The sequence below is a fragment of the Homo sapiens genome, chromosome 1, assembly GCF_000001405.40.
Source record: "Homo sapiens chromosome 1, GRCh38.p14 Primary Assembly".
In the NCBI taxonomy this organism is placed as follows: domain Eukaryota; kingdom Metazoa; phylum Chordata; class Mammalia; order Primates; family Hominidae; genus Homo; species Homo sapiens.
In genome coordinates, this window is record NC_000001.11 from 155,726,528 (window position 1) to 155,742,213 (window position 15,686).

Consider the following 15,686-nt stretch of genomic DNA (forward strand, 5'->3'; position numbering starts at 1 on the left):
GTGATCCACCTGCCTTGGCCTCCCAAAGTGCTGGGATTACAGGCATGAGCCATTGCACCCGGCCTCAGCTTTACTTTCCTAACAGGGATCTGATAGCTAAAGGAAAAGCCTTTGCCAGTCACGATGGCTCAAACCTATAATCCCAGCACTTTGGGAGGCTGAGGCTGGAATATTGCTTAGAGCCCAGGAGGAGGCTGCAGTGAGCTGTGATCGCACCACTACACTCTAGCGTGGGCAACAAAGCAAGACCCTGTCTCAAAAAAAAAAAAAAAAAAGAAGAAGAAGAAAAGCCTTTACTCCAGATGTAGAGCAGACTGAGCTCATCCATCATGATTTCTTCGTGATATTACTGCCAAGCAGATTATAAGGTGAAGTCAATGTGACAAAAGGAAATTCGGCTAAAAGCTTCCTGAAGCCTTTTGATGCTAAGCAGTCCTTCTTTTGATATTTAATACCCATGGACATAAACTTCTGCCTTAGAGGTCGCCATGGAGTTTTGTTTTGTTTTGTTTTGTTTTGTTTTTGCCATCTGTTAACAGTCCTGAGTACCCATAGAGCCTTTTACTATTTATCAGCATTCTAGAGTCGTCAGTATGGATTGTCAAAACTTGCATTTGTCTCTTTTTTGTTCAGTGTTGTGTGCATCCACATTTTCTTTCTTTTTTAAACAACCCTGCTTATGTAACATCCACATTTTCTGACTTACCTTTCAAACCTGCCAGAAAGCAGAAGTGATATTTAATACACTTGGTATGTTTTATATATTGATTCTAATGATAATGTTTAGTCTAAGATGGACCTGACAAGGCCAGGCATAGTGGTTCAACAGCACTTTGAGAGGCTGAGGCAGGATGATTGCCTGAGCCTAGGAGTTCAAGGTTACAGTGAACTGTGATCACATCCTGCCTTCTAGCCTGGGTGACAGAGCAAGACCCTGTCTCAAAAAAAAAAAAAAAAAAGAAAAGAAATATATATATGAGAAACTAAAGTCATTTCCCATAACTTAAAAGAGGCATAGAATATTTCGAGTTGAATACAGTTTCTGCCTGGCTTGTTTTCTTCTGCCTCTTTTTTTTAAAGCTCATCTTTGGGTGAAAAATTGTCGGGATCTTCTGCAGTCCAGCTACAACAAACAGCGCTTTGATCAACCTTTAGAGGCTTCAACCTGGCTGAAGAATTTCAAAACTACAAATGAGCGCTTCCTGAACCAGGTGACTAGACTCCCAGAAGTTGAGTGCTAGGTAGTCCTTACATGGATTCTTTGTGCCCTGAGTACCAATAGACTATGGAGAACTGATACTGGAGTTGGAATAACTGTATCATTTTTAATTTCTTTCATACGTTTTGCTCACAGTGGACTCATAACTTGAAACTCATTTATCCATGTGAAATAAATAGGCAACAGTAAGTTGTTCCCATTTTGTGGGTAGCAAAGTGAAATCCAGTTGATTCATTGACTTTTCAAGGTACAGCCTCCAATCCCTCGCAAGCACATTTCCAACTACATGATTTTCTCCAGACAATATCTTTTTAGGGAACCAGAAATGTATTGGAAAAATTCTTCTTTACCCTGGTGATTCTTAGATACCCTGTCTAGACCAGGGGCCTTCAACTCTGGATATAAAGCAGAGTCACCTAAGAGCTTGTTAAAAATGCAGATGCCAGAGTCTCATTCTGGACATTTTCATCAGAATCCCTTATGTATGTTTATTCAAGGCTCCAAGCAGAAATGGATTAGAAAGCATTCACTTTGGTCAGGCACAGGGGCTCACACCTGTAATGTCAGCACTTTGGGAGGCCAAGGCAGGCAGATCACCTGAGGTCAGGAGTTCAAGATGAGCCTGGCCAACATGGTGAAATCCCATCTCTACTAAAAATACAAATATTAGCCGGGTGTGGTGGTGCACGCCTGTAGGCCCATCTATTCAGGAGGCTGAGGCAGGGGAATCTCTTGAACCTGGGAATCAGAGGTTTCAGTGAGCCGAGATAGCGCCATTGTACTCCAGCCTGGGTAACAGAGCGAGATATGGTCTCAAAAAAAAGATAAAAGAGGTCAGGCGTGTGGCTCAGACATGTAATTCCAGCATTTTGGGAGGCCGAGGTGGGCAGATCACCTGAGGTCAGGAATTCTAGACCAGCCTGGCCAACATGGCGAAACCCCATCTCTACTAAAAATACAAAAATTAGCCAGGCGTGGTGACACACGCCTGAAATCCCAGCTACTTGGGAGGCTGAGGCAAGAGAATCCCTTAAACCTGGGAGGTGGATGTTGCAGCGAGCTGAGATCATGCCACTGCACTTCAGCCTGGGTTACAGAGAAAGAAGCTGTCTCAAAAAAAAAAAAAAAGAAAGAAAAGAAAGCATTCACTTCTACATTGAGGTCTCTTACAGAACCTGAACAATAGATTAAAATGAACTCCTGTTAACCTTAGCCTCCAACCTTTTCAAGGGATGGTTTCACCCTTAGGCCAAGTAGCCTTTTTTTTGGTTTTTATTTTCTTTGCTTGCTTTTAGATAAAAGTTCAAGAGAAGTATGTCTGGAATAAGAGAGAAAGCACTGAGAAAGGGAGTCCTCTGGGAGAAGTGGTTGAACAGGTATAAGAAAAAACACTGAATGTGTAACATGCGATAACAAGAGAAGGCCTCTGGTAGCACTACAATCCACTGTCTCTCCCAATAGGGCATAACACGGGTGAGGAACGCCACAGATGCAGTTGGAATTGTGCTGAAAGAGCTAAAGAGGCAAAGTTCTTTGGGTATGTTTCACCTCCTAGTGGCCGTGGATGGAATCAATGCTCTTTGGGGAAGAACCACTCTGAAAAGAGAAGATAAAAGCCCGGTAGGAAAACTGGGTGTCTCTATCTTGTTTCTCTGATTTCTGATTCCATCAGTATGGAGGCTGGGTCTTAGCCTTGTAGACCATGCAATATGTTTTCTTGCCCTAGGAATATTTGAAGATAAACAGTAAAGAGCTGGGTGCAGTGGCTCACGCCTGTAATCCCATTGGCTCACGAGGCTGAGGTGGGAGGATCGCTTGAGGCCAGGAGTTCAAGACTAGGATGGGCACTATAGCAAGGCCCCTGCCTCTAAAAAAATAAGAAATTAGCCGGTAGCTGGCATGGTGGCACACACCTGTAGTCACTGCTACTGGAAGGCTGAGGCCAGAGGATCACTTGAGCCCTGGAGTTCAAGGTTGTAGTGTGGCATGATTGCAACACTGCACACCAACCTGGGTGACAGAGTGAAATCCTGTCTCTTAAAAAATATATATATGGCTGGGCACAGTGGCTCATGCCTGTAATCCCAGCACTTGGGGAGGCTGAGGCGGGCGGATCACCTGAGCTTGGAGTTCGAGACCAGCCTGACCAACATGGAGAAACCCATCTCTACTAAAAATACAAAATTAGCCGGGCATGGTGGTGCATGACTGTAATCCCAGTTACTCGGGAGGCTGAGGCAGGAGAATCGCTTGAACCCAGGAGGCGGAGGTTGCAGTGAGCCGAGATCGCCATATATATATATTCATATATATGTATATATACACACATATATATTCATATATGTATATATACACACATATATTCATATATATTTATATATACATATATTCATATGTTTTCATAATATACGAATATACCTATATGTTCATATATGTATATATAATATTCATATATGTATATATGTATATATAATATTCATATATGTATATATGTATATATACGTATATATGCACACATACATATTCGTATATGCATATGCACACATACATATTCGTATATATATGTGAAGATAAACAGCAAGGCCTGGTGTGATGGCTGATAAATCCCAGCACTTTTAGGAGGCCAAGAGGTGATTTGCTTGAGTCCAGGAGTTTGGAGTTTGAGGTCAGCCTGGGCAGCACAGTGAAACCCTGTCCCTACAAAAAATATAAAAAACTAGCTGGGCATGGTGGTTTGCACCTGTATGTAGCTCCAGCTACTTGGAAGGCTAAGATGGGAGGATGGCTTGAGCCCAAGAGGCAGAGCCCGCAATGAGTGGAGATCGTGCCACTGCATTCCAGGCTGGGCAACAGAATGAGACTCTGTCTCAAAAAAATAAAAAAAAAGAAAAGATAAACAGTAAAATGGAATCAGAGGAGGAGGTAATGCCAAGAGTTCCACTATTCATTGAAAACTAAGGGAGTATGTTGTGGAAAGAGAATGACAGCAGAAGCTATGTTTTCTTTCTTAATTTTTATCTGTCTTTTGATTCTTTTTTCAAAATGAGTCTAGATGGTCTAAGCAGAGGAGATCAGAAGCATCAAAATGGGGCTGGTTTGGGGCAGTGGGTGTTTTTCTCAGTGACTGTTAATCTCCAGAAGCATGGCAGTTCTAGGGCCAGAGGCTACGTGGCTTATCCTAGAGGGAGTACCTTCAGGTATACAATTATGTCTTAGTTGAGGGTTTTAAAAAAATTGTTGTCACCAGGTGCAGTGGCTCATGCTTGTAATCCCAGCACTTTGGTAGGCCGAGGTGGGTGGATCACAAGGTCAGGAGTTTGAGACCGTCCTGGCTAACACGGGGAAACCCTGTCTCTACTAAAAATACAAAAAAATTAGGCTCTGGTGGCGCGCGCCTATAGTCCCAGCTACTCAGGAGGCTGAGGCAGGAGAATCGCTTGAACCCAGGAGGTGGAGGTTGCAGTGAGCCCAAATCGCGCCACTGCACTCCAGCCTGGGCGACAGAGCGAGACTCTGTCAAAAAAAAAAAAAAATTGTTGTCAATTGTTTCGGGAGAACATCTAGGAAAGGCACGTGATGATCTCTTCTCTCTTTCTGTCCGATATGCAGATTGCCCCCGAGGAATTAGCACTTGTTCACAACTTGAGGAAAATGATGAAAAATGATTGGGTAAGTGCATATGATACCTCACACATTTCAGAAAGAAATGTATTATCATTTTAAACATGTTCTACTATTTCATTGCTAATACTTTACAGTCTCTAATTTTATGGACAGTAAGTTATTATGTCTTATTTAATTCCTGTATCTGTACCAAGTTAGAAATAAAGTCTGAATTAAAATCTATATATATGTGGTTTATAATCTTTCCAAAGTAAGTTTATTCAAAACCATTTTATTTAAATATTGGCCTAATTTTATTTTGCTTGCAGACATTTAAAGTGTTTTTGTATCTCCTTACCGTCTTTGGAAAAGAGTTTGAGACCCACAAATATGTCATGGTAAATTTAAAATCAGGTAGCAGTTTATTGTCAGAGCCAAATCTGGAATAACCAATTTAGTTGCCATTTAACTGTGCTAGACCACACTTTTGTAACACTGTATGCCCAAGAAAGAAAAAAAAAATCTACAGATGATTAATGCAGTTTTCCATCCTTTTTAACTTTTTCCAGTTCAGCCTTTTCTCTTTTCTTTCAGCATGGAGGCGCCATTGTGTCGGCTTTGAGCCAGACTGGGTCTCTCTTTAAGCCCCGGAAAGCCTATCTGCCCCAGGAGTTGCTGGGAAAGGTCAAGTCAAAGGAAAATTTGTTTCTACTTAGATTGTTATCCTGTTTAAAGAAAAATATTTTTATTAATCTATGTATTTTGACATAATTTCAGACTTAGAGAAAAATCATATTCCTGTATGCCCTTCCCCTGGATTCCTAAAATATTAACTTGATCATCATTGCTTTATCCGTCTCCGTCTTTCTCCAGAGTTTCTTTTCTTTTTTTTTTTTTTGAGACGGAGTCTTGCTCTGTCAACCAGGCTTGAGTGCAATGGCGCAATTTCGGCTCACTGCAACCTCCGCCTTCCGGGTTCAAGTGATTCTCCTGTCTCGGCCTCCTAAGTAGCTGGGATTACAGGCGTCCACTACCACGCCCAGCTAATTTTTTGTATTTTTAGTAGAGACGAGGTTTCACCATGTTGGCCAGGCTGGTTTCAAGCTCCTGACCTCAAGTGATCCGCCTACCTCAGCCTCCCAAAGTGCTAGGATTATAGGCGTGAGCCACGGCGCCTGGCCTTGATGCTTCTTTGTCTCCAAATAATGTCTCATTCCTAAGAACAAAGATACTCTAATATACCCTGAGCATAATTATCAAAGTCAGAAAATTGACATTGATATCATACTTTTACCTAATTGGTGGGATTTATTCTGATGTAGCCAGTTATCCCAGTATCTTTTATAGAAAAATAAATCCCAGATAATGTGTTACATTAAGTTGTCATGTCTCTGGCTGGGTGCGGTGGCTCATGCCTGTAATCCCAGCACTTTGGGAGGCCGAGGCAGGCGGATCATGAGGTCAGGAGATCGAGACCATCCTGGCTAACATGGTGAAACCCCGTCTCTACTAAAAATACAAAAAATTAGCCAGGCGTCGTGGCGCGTGGCTGTAATCCCAGCTACTCAGGAGGCCGAGGTAGGAGAATCGCTTGAACCCGGGAGGTGGAGGTTGCAGTGAGCCGAGATTGCGCCACTGCACTACAGCGTGGGTGACAGAGCGAGACTCCGTCTCAAAAAAAAGAAAAAGTTGTCATGTCTCTTTGGTCTCCTTTAATCTGTGACAGTCTGTCAGTCTTTGTCATTTGAAATCTTTATGTTTTTGGCATGTGCATGCCAGCTATTTTGTAGGTCACTTTTTGGGGTTGTCTGAGGTTTCCTCCTGAATAGAAGTGATGTTAGAAGTGATGACATGTCTGAGTGAGTGCATCCTATCAGGAGGCACATTTCTCCCATTACTGGTAATGATTTTGGAACTGTTAGCTGAGGTGTTGTCCATCTGGTTTCTCTTCAGTAAAGTTATTATTTTGCTTTGGAATTAATATGTATGTTGTAGAGATATACTTTGAGACTAGGTAAAGATCCTGTTACTTCTCAAACTTCCACCTACTGGTTTTAGTATCCATTACTTTAGTTATACCTGGCATGGAGCCTCCGCAGCTGGTATGGTCTTGTGGATTTTTATTTAATAGAATCTAAATCATTACTGTCACTTTTTATTTTGGTGCTCAAATCATCTTAGATTTGGCCATTAAAAATTCCTTCATTGGCCGGGTGTGATGGCTCACGTCTGTAATCCCAGCACTTTGGGAGGCCAAGGCGGGTGGATCACGAGGTCAGGAGTTCAAGACCAGCCTGGCCAATATGGTGAAATCCTGTCTCTACTAAAAATGTAAAAATTAGCCAGGTGTGGTGGTGCGTGCCTATAGTCCCAGTTACTCTGGAGGCTGAGGCAGAAGAATCGGTTGAACCCAGGAGGCGGAGGTTGCAGTGAACCAAGATTGTGCCATTACACTCCAGCCTGAGCCACAAAGCAAGACTCCGTCTCAAGAAAAACAAAAAACAAAAAAACAATTCCTTCATGGCCAGGCTTGGTAGCTCACAGCTGTAATCACAGCACTTTGGGAGGCCAAGGCAGAAGGATCCCTTGAGCTCAGGAGTTTGAGACCAGCCTGGGCAACAAAGTGAGACCCCATCTCTACAAAAAAAAATTTTAAAACTAGCTGGGCATGGTGGCATTCACCTGTAGTCACAGCTACTCTGGAGACTGAGGTGGGAGGATCGCTTGAGCCCGGGAGGTCAAGGCTGTAGTGGGCCCTGATTTTGCCAGTGTACTCCAGCCTGGGCAATAGAGTGCGGCCCTATCTCAACAGGAAAAAAAGCTCCTTCAAGCTAACTTCTATATCCTTTTAAAATGTCCCCATCATTATTTTTTTGGAGATAGGGTCTCACTCTGTCACCCAGGCTGTAGTGCAGTAGCACCATCATAGCTCACTGTAGCCTTGAGCACATGCCACCACACCCAGCACTGAATGTTGTCTTTTTCTTTTCTTTCCTTTTTTTTTTTAGAGGCATGGTCTTAACTATGTTGTTGCCTAGGGTGGTCTTGAACTGCTAGCCTCAGGCAATCCTCCCACCTCGGCCTCCTAAAGTGCTGGGATTACTGGCGTGAGCCACCATATCCAGCTCCTATCATTCTTTGACCACTTCTTTATTTTCTGTCATGAGAATATGTTCCAGACCCCTCTTATACTTCCCATGCCCAGCCCTGGAATCTCCATTTCTCCAAAGAGCATTGGCTTATTTTAGAGGAGACTGGTATTTAGCAACCAAGGCCTGAGTCCTAGGTATACTCACTGCTACTGAGGTGTCCTTTCTCCTAGGCCCTCACAGCAAAGTTCATAAATAGATGTACATACATACATGTATGTATGTATATGTGTGAACCATATGCATATACATGTTTATACACATCCACACACATCTGCGTTTGTTTCTCTAATCATATTAAAAAACTATGAGTTCCTACTAGTAGCCAATTCCATGCTACCATCACAGCAGTCATTATACCCTTTCCATATCTGTAACTCTAATCTAAAATAATGAGAAATCTGCTGCCAGTAGCCATAGTATATTTACTTATTAGCTCAATACTAGAATATATGAAAAGTAGTTTCAGATTTGATAGCTCTCAGGCTGGGCGTGGTGGCTCATGCCTATAATCCCAGCACTTTGGGAGGCCGAGGCGGGCAGATCACGAGGTCAGGAGATCTAGACCGGCCTGGCCAACATGGTGAAACCCCGTCTCTACCAAAAAATGAAAAAAAAAAAAAAAGAAAAAAAAATTAGCCGGGCGTGGTGGGGCGCCTATAGTCCCAGATACTCCGAAGGCTGAGGTGGGAGAATCGCTTGACCCTGGGAGGCAGAGGTTGCAGTGAGCTAAGATGTGCCAATGCACTCCAGCCTGGGAGACAGTGAAAAAGAAAGAAAAAAATAAGTTCCTTGGGCCGGGCGCAGTGGCTCACGCCTATAATCCCTGCACTTTGGGAGGCCAGGGCGGGCGGATCACCTGAGGTCAGGAGTTCAAGACCAGCCTGGCCAACATGATGAAATCCTGTCTCTACTAAAAATACAAAAAATTAGCTGGGCATGGTGGTGCAGGCATGTAATGCCAGCTACTCGTGAGGCTGAGACAGGAGAATCGCTTGAACCCAGGAGGCAGAGGTTGCAGTGAGCCGAGATCGTGCCATTGCACTCTAGCCTGGGCAACAGGAGCAAAACTCAGTCTCAAGAAAATGAAAAAAAAAAAAGAAATACAGTTTGATTACTTCATTTGTTTCCATTTGTTTTCCATCTAGCGTATTTTTTCCCATTATTTTTATTTTTTATTTTATTTTATTTGAGATGAAGTCTTGCTCTGTCACCCACGCTGGAGTGCAGTGGTGCAATCTCAGCTCACTGCAACCTCCACCTCCCAGGTTCAAGTGATTCTCCTGCCTCAGCCTCCCAAGTAGCTGGGATTACAGGCACGCATCACCACGCCTGGCTAATTTTTTTTTTTTTTTTTTTTTTGAGATGGAGTCTTGCTCTGTCACCAGGCTGGAGTGCAGTGGCTTAATCTCGGCTCACTGCAACATCCACCTCCCGAGTTTAAGCAATTCTTCTGCCTCAGTCTCCCGAGTAGCTGGGACGACAGGTGCATGCCACCACGCCCAGCTAATTTTTGTAATTTAGTAGAGATGGGGTTTCACCATATTGGCCAGGCAGGTCTTGAACTCCTGACCTTGTGATCTGCCCGCCTCAGCCTCCCAAAGTGCTGGGATTACAGGCATGAGCCACCGTGCCCGGCTAATTTTTGTATTTTTAGTAGAGACAGTAATTTTGTATTTTTAGTATTTTCACCATGTTGGCCAGGCTGATCTCGAACTCCTGACCTCAGGCGATCTGCCCTCCTTGGCCACCCAAAGTGCTGGGATTACCAGCATGAGCCACCATATTCCTTTGAAAATATGAAACATTAACTTTGTTTCAAAAGCCAAAACTGTCCAAAATACATACACACAATATGTGTGTGTGCGTGTGTATGTGTGTGTATTCACACAAGTAGCATCCGCCTCCTCAAGCATTGCCTTTTTTTTTGTGTGTGTAGACATGGTCTTACTCTGTCACCCATACTGTGACAGTATGTGTAGTGGAGCAATCGCAGCTCACTGCAATCTCAACCTCCTGGTCTCAAGCAATCCTCAGCCTCCCGAGTACCTGGGGCTAGAGGCACGCAGCACCACTCCTGGCTAATTTTTGTATTTTCTGTCGAGACAGGGTTTTACCACATGGCCCAGGCTCGTCTGGAACTCCTGGGCTCAAGCAATATGCCCATCTCAGCCTCCCAAGGTGCTGGGATTACAGGTGTGAGTCACTGTGCCCAGCCACCTCTTTTTAATATATAGCATTTGTGGCCACGTAGAGCACGAGTAGCCAGCCACCATATGTGGAGTCCATATGTGGAGTCCTGTATCAGGCAATGTTGCCAGAGAATGAGAAGTAGAGTTACATAGAAGAAAAACAAATACCTTACCTTCAAAGTGCTTAAGTAGAGTCTGTCTGTCTGGTGCTTTGTTCCTTAACTAACATGTTTCCTGATCCTTTTTCTTCCCCAGGAAGGATTTGATGCCCTGGATCCCTTTATTCCCATCCTGGTTTCCAACTATAACCCAAAGGAATTTGAAAGTTGTATTCAGTATTATTTGGAAAACAATTGGCTTCAACATGAGAAAGGTCCATCATTTAGTTTTTTCCTATCAGGGCTTTGTGATCACAGTAGAATCCCACTCAGTCAGAGCCTTGATCTCTTCTTCCCTTAACAACAGCCTCTAATTTGTACTTCATCCTTTATCTTGACTTCTTTCTGGCTGATAAATGGTACAGAAAAGCGGGTGGGAGGCAGTTAAGGTTTAATTTACAAAAGAGATTTTATCCCTAAATTTTCCATGATAAAGAAGGGAACAAAGGCAACTCCATCCACTGGGCAGAATTTCCAGGTAATTGGGTTCCTGCCACATTCTCCTTATTGAATTTATTTATTCAATAGACTTCACTGGAGAGACTCATGCTGGGACACCCACAGAAAAATTCATACTGTGCAAGGGCTACTCCAGCACCTAAGTAAATCTTTGCCACACCTGTCCTAGTATATGTACAGAAATTAACTTTCAGCACTATATTTCATCTACTCTGACTGAAAGCATTCCAACTGTTCATTTACTTGCCCTTGACCTCACATTTGAGTATGAAGAGGGGATATAGAAGAAAAGCTAAGGCTGCTCTATCACTAGATAATAGAGTTAATAGTAATCGGAGGCCTGGTGCAGTGGCTCACACCTGTAATCTACACTTTGGGAGGGCAAGGTGGGAAGACCACTTGATGTCGGGAGTTTGAGACCAGGCTAGGCAATATAGTGAGACCCCATCTCTATTGAAAAAAGCAAAAAAAAAAAAATACTATTTAGAATAGCTTATTAAAGGAGTACAGTGAAGAGTGTAAGACTAACTGTAGCATGTTAAGTTGGGATGCACAATAGACAGATTTCTAAGAGTTGGGAGATGTCACAAAATCCTGAAGTCCAGAAGACACTCTTGGAGTGGAGAGAGAGCTCCATGCTGGTTTGGAGGAGTAGACACAGAAAAGGAAGTAATGCATACAAAAGAAGAGTAGCTTGTTGGGGTGAGGGTCTAGAAGTAAGATCTCTTGGGAGATGATAATTACCTCAGAACGTAATTTGGATATGGTAGCCTCTGACTACACGATATTCTGGGGAACACAGTGCAGCAGGAGGAAACTGCCACTTACCTGTGTTTGTCTCCATTTTAGCTCCTACAGAAGAAGGGAAAAAAGAGCTGCTGTTCCTAAGTAACGCGAACCCCTCGCTGCTGGAGCGGCACTGTGCCTACCTCTAAGCCAAGATCACAGCATGTGAGGAAGACAGTGGACATCTGCTTTATGCTGGACCCAGTAAGATGAGGAAGTCGGGCAGTACACAGGAAGAGGAGCCAGGCCCTTGTACCTATGGGATTGGACAGGACTGCAGTTGGCTCTGGACCTGCATTAAAATGGGTTTCACTGTGAATGCGTGACAATAAGATATTCCCTTGTTCCTAAAACTTTATATCAGTTTATTGGATGTGGTTTTTCACATTTAAGATAATTATGGCTCTTTTCCTAAAAAATAAAATATCTTTCTAAAGTGTTGTGTTAGATTAATAATATGGAAGGAGTCTTTAGATTGGCCAAATTGCATTTCTCTGATATTCCTCTTGTTGCAGGTCAGAAGAGATCAATTCTACAGAAATTTCCAGTGGTTCTGTTGAGGCTTTATGGAATTCAGCATGTCAAAATTCACAGCTGGCTGGGCACAGTGGCTCATGCCTGTAATCCCAGCACTTTGGAAGCCCAAGGCGGGCAGACTGCTTGAGTTCAGGAGTTTGCAACCAGCCTGGGCAACATGGTGAAAACCTGTCTCTACTAAAAATACAAAAATTAGCCGGGCACGGTGGCATGCGCCTGTAATCCAAGCTACTTGGGAGGCTGAGGCAGGAGAATTGCTTCAACTTGGGAGGCGGATGTTGCAGTGAGCCAAAATTGCACCACTGCACTCCAGCCTGGGCAGCAGAGCAAGACTCCGTCTCAAAATAAATAAATAAATAAATAAATAAATAAATAATAAATGTATACTGTACTGTTTTACATGACCGACTTCAGCATCTAAGGATGTTGCTACCTGGAGGAAGTGGGATCCTGGAACGAATCCCACATAGGTATGAGGAATAACAATAATGGAAAATCAGGTATCTTCCCTTTCTCCCAGTGCTTTTCTAAAAGGAATTTCTGTTACCAAATCCTAGAGATGATACAATTCTACACAAATATATATATGGCCGGGCGTGGTGGCTCATGCATGTAATCCCAGCACTTTGGGAGGCCGAGGCGGGCAGATCACTTGAGGTCAGGAGTTTAAGACCAGCCTGGCCAACATGGTGAAACCCCGTCTCTACTAAAAATACAAAAAGTAGCCGGGGGTGGTGGCACATGCCTCTAATCCCATCTACTCGGGAGGGTGAGGCAGGAGAATTGCTTGAACCCAGGAGGTAGAGGTTGCAGTGAGCCGAGATCATGCCATTGCACTCCAGCCTGGGTGACTGATAGAGACTCTGTCTCAAAAAAAAATATATATATGTGTGTGTGTGTGTGTGTGTGTGTGTGTATATATGTATATACACACACGATATGCATATCATATGTATATATTATGTCTGTTATACGTATATATATGTTATGTTTATATTAGTATTACTATTAATATGTTAGATACATATTAAAAATATGTTTACTTTGACAGTAATATATAACTATCAAAGTAGTATACTAATAGGTTGTATATTATATATTGTATATGACAATATATAGTATATTACTCATAATATTGGGTCCTATATATTATGTATATGTATTATATATGTTATATGTATTTGTATATATTTTATATATATGTTATATATATATTTTTAATTTATATTTATATATTTTTAAGAGACAGTCTTGCCCTGTCTCCCAGGCTGGAGTGCAGTGGCATGATCACAGCTCACTGCAGCCCCAACTCCTGGGTTCAATCAGTCCTTTTGCCTGAGCCTCCCTAGTAACTTGGGACCACAGGTGTGTGCTACCACACCTGGCTAATTTTTTAGTGTTCAGTAGAGACAGAATGTAGCTTGGTTTCCCAGGCTAGGCAATATGGCAAAACCTCAGAGTGAGAGAGACCGAATCTCTAATAAATAACTTGAACAAAATAACTGCTAAATGTACACTAGAAACCATATTCCTTTTTCTTTTTTTTTTTGAGACGGAGTCTTGGTCTGTCACCCAGGCTGGAGTGCAGTGGTGCGATCTCGGCTCACTGCAAGCTCCGCCTCCTGGGTTCACACCATTCTCCTGCCGCAGCCTCCCGAGTAGTTGGGACTACAGGCACCCGCCACCGTGCCCGGCTAATTTTTTGAAATTTTAGTAGAGACAGGGTTTCACCGTGTTAGCCAGGATGGTCTCGATCTCCTGACCTTGTGATCCACCCACCTCGGCCTCCCAAAGTGCTGGGATTACAGGTGTGAGCCACCGCGCCCAGCCTAGAAACCATATTCCTGATGATAATTTAAAAGATCTTACTAAATGGAAAGATTCTCCATGTTCATTGATTGGAGTACTCAGTAATAAGATGGCAGTTATTCCCATATTGACCTATAGATTCAATGCAATCATTATCAAAATTTCAGAAGGTTTTTTGCAAAACTGGAAAACTGACCAAGCACGGTGGTCCATGCCTGTAATCTCAGCATGCTGGGAGGCTGAGGTGGGCAGATCACTTGAGCCTAGGAGTTTGAGACCAGCCTGGGCAACATGGAGAAGCCTAGGCTCTACAACAAATACAAAAATTAGCCAGGTATGGTGGCATGCGCCTGTAGTTCCAGCTACTTGGGAGGCTGAGGCAGGAGGATCACTTGAACCCCAGAGGTTGAGGTTTCAGTGAGCCGTGATCATGCCACTGCTCATCCTCAGCTGCAGAGTAAGACCCTGTCTCAAAAAACAAAAAGGAAATAAAAAAGGGAAACTGACCTAAAGTTTATGTTTTTATTAATATTATTTTGAGACAGGGTCTCACTCTCTGTTACCCAGGCTGGAGTGTAAGGCCACACTACAGCCTCGACCTTCTGGACTCAATCCTCCTACCTCAGCTCCACGAGTGGTTAGGACTACAGGCACACACCACCACACGTGGCTAATTTTGATTTTTTTTTTTAATAAAGATGGGATCTCACTATATTGCCCAGGCTGGTCTCAAGCTTCTGGACTCAAGTGATCCACCTGTCTCAGCCTCCCAAATTGCTGGGCGTATAGGCTTGAATGACTTTGGCCAGGCTATAACCCCATCGTCTGTTTCTGGGAAGACCTAATGCACCCAAACGCAATGCTACCCTTCAAGAGACAAATCTAAAATTGCAAGTAAAAATTCAAAAGAGGGCCGGGTGTGGTGGTGCACGCCTATAATCCCAGCACTTTGGGAGGCCGAGGCGGGTGGATCACCTGAAGTCAGGAGTTTGAGACCAGCCTGAGTAATACAGTGAAACCCCGTCTCTACTAAATACAAAAACATCAACCGGGCATAGTGGCGGGCACCTGTAATCCCAGCTACTTGGGAGGCTGAGGCAGGAGAATTGCTTGAACCTGGGAGGCGGAGGCTGCAGTGAGCCGAGATCGCGCCACTGCAGTCCAGCCCGGTGACAGTGTGAGACTCTGTCTCAAAAAAAAAAAGTAAGGATATAAAAGATTGAGTAGCATGATTAACACTTGTCCTAATGGAAGTATTTTTAAAAATTGAATCCCCAAACAACTTTTTTTTGGTAGAAGCTCTTTTACATTCACATACTTTATTTTTAATAGCCTAACTACAGTTATCCTTTTCTTTAACCCAGGAAGGCAGAGAGAAAAGAGAGCAAATTAAGTTGCCTAAAGCTGAACTTGGACATCATCAAACTTCTAGAAAGGCAGATTATGAAATAATGCTTTAATAAACATATTATTAATTTAATAAGCATCTGTTGTTCTAAAAAGTAGAAAATACATCAGGTCATTATTGTTGACCCTTAAACAATAACGTTTTTGGACTGCATGGGTCCACTTATTCACATATATATTTTTTTTAAAGGGTCTTGCTCTGTTGCCCAGGCGGGAGTACAGTGGCATGATCTCGGCTCACTGTAACCTCTGCAACCTTGGTTCAAGCTATCCTCCTGACTCAGCCTCCCTAGTAGCTGGGCTTACAGGTGCACACCACCACGTCCGGCTGTTTTGTATTTATAGCAGAGACGGGGTGTCACCATAC

General features: G+C 43.2%; 1 protein-coding gene across 18 annotated transcripts in view; it reads left to right on the forward strand.

Moving 5' to 3' along the window:
• Positions 1–12,483, forward strand: part of DAP3 (death associated protein 3) — a 51,063-nt gene extending 38,580 nt beyond the window's left edge. For 11 of the 18 annotated variants that reach the window (XM_047430081.1, XM_047430090.1, XM_047430092.1 and 8 more), the window contains 7 exons: positions 1,081–1,211; positions 2,515–2,595; positions 2,681–2,839; positions 4,829–4,888; positions 5,417–5,506; positions 10,419–10,536; positions 11,630–12,483. In XM_047430081.1, the coding sequence (XP_047286037.1) occupies positions 1,081–1,211; positions 2,515–2,595; positions 2,681–2,839; positions 4,829–4,888; positions 5,417–5,506; positions 10,419–10,536; positions 11,630–11,715 (725 nt within the window). In that variant the 3' untranslated portion in view covers positions 11,716–12,483. The remainder of the gene's footprint in view (positions 1–1,080; positions 1,212–2,514; positions 2,596–2,680; positions 2,840–4,828; positions 4,889–5,416; positions 5,507–10,418; positions 10,537–11,629) is intronic. The other 7 variants (XM_047430085.1, XM_047430096.1, XM_024449700.2 and 4 more) reach the window with 1 other exon arrangement.
• The last annotated feature ends 3,203 nt before the right edge of the window (positions 12,484–15,686 follow it).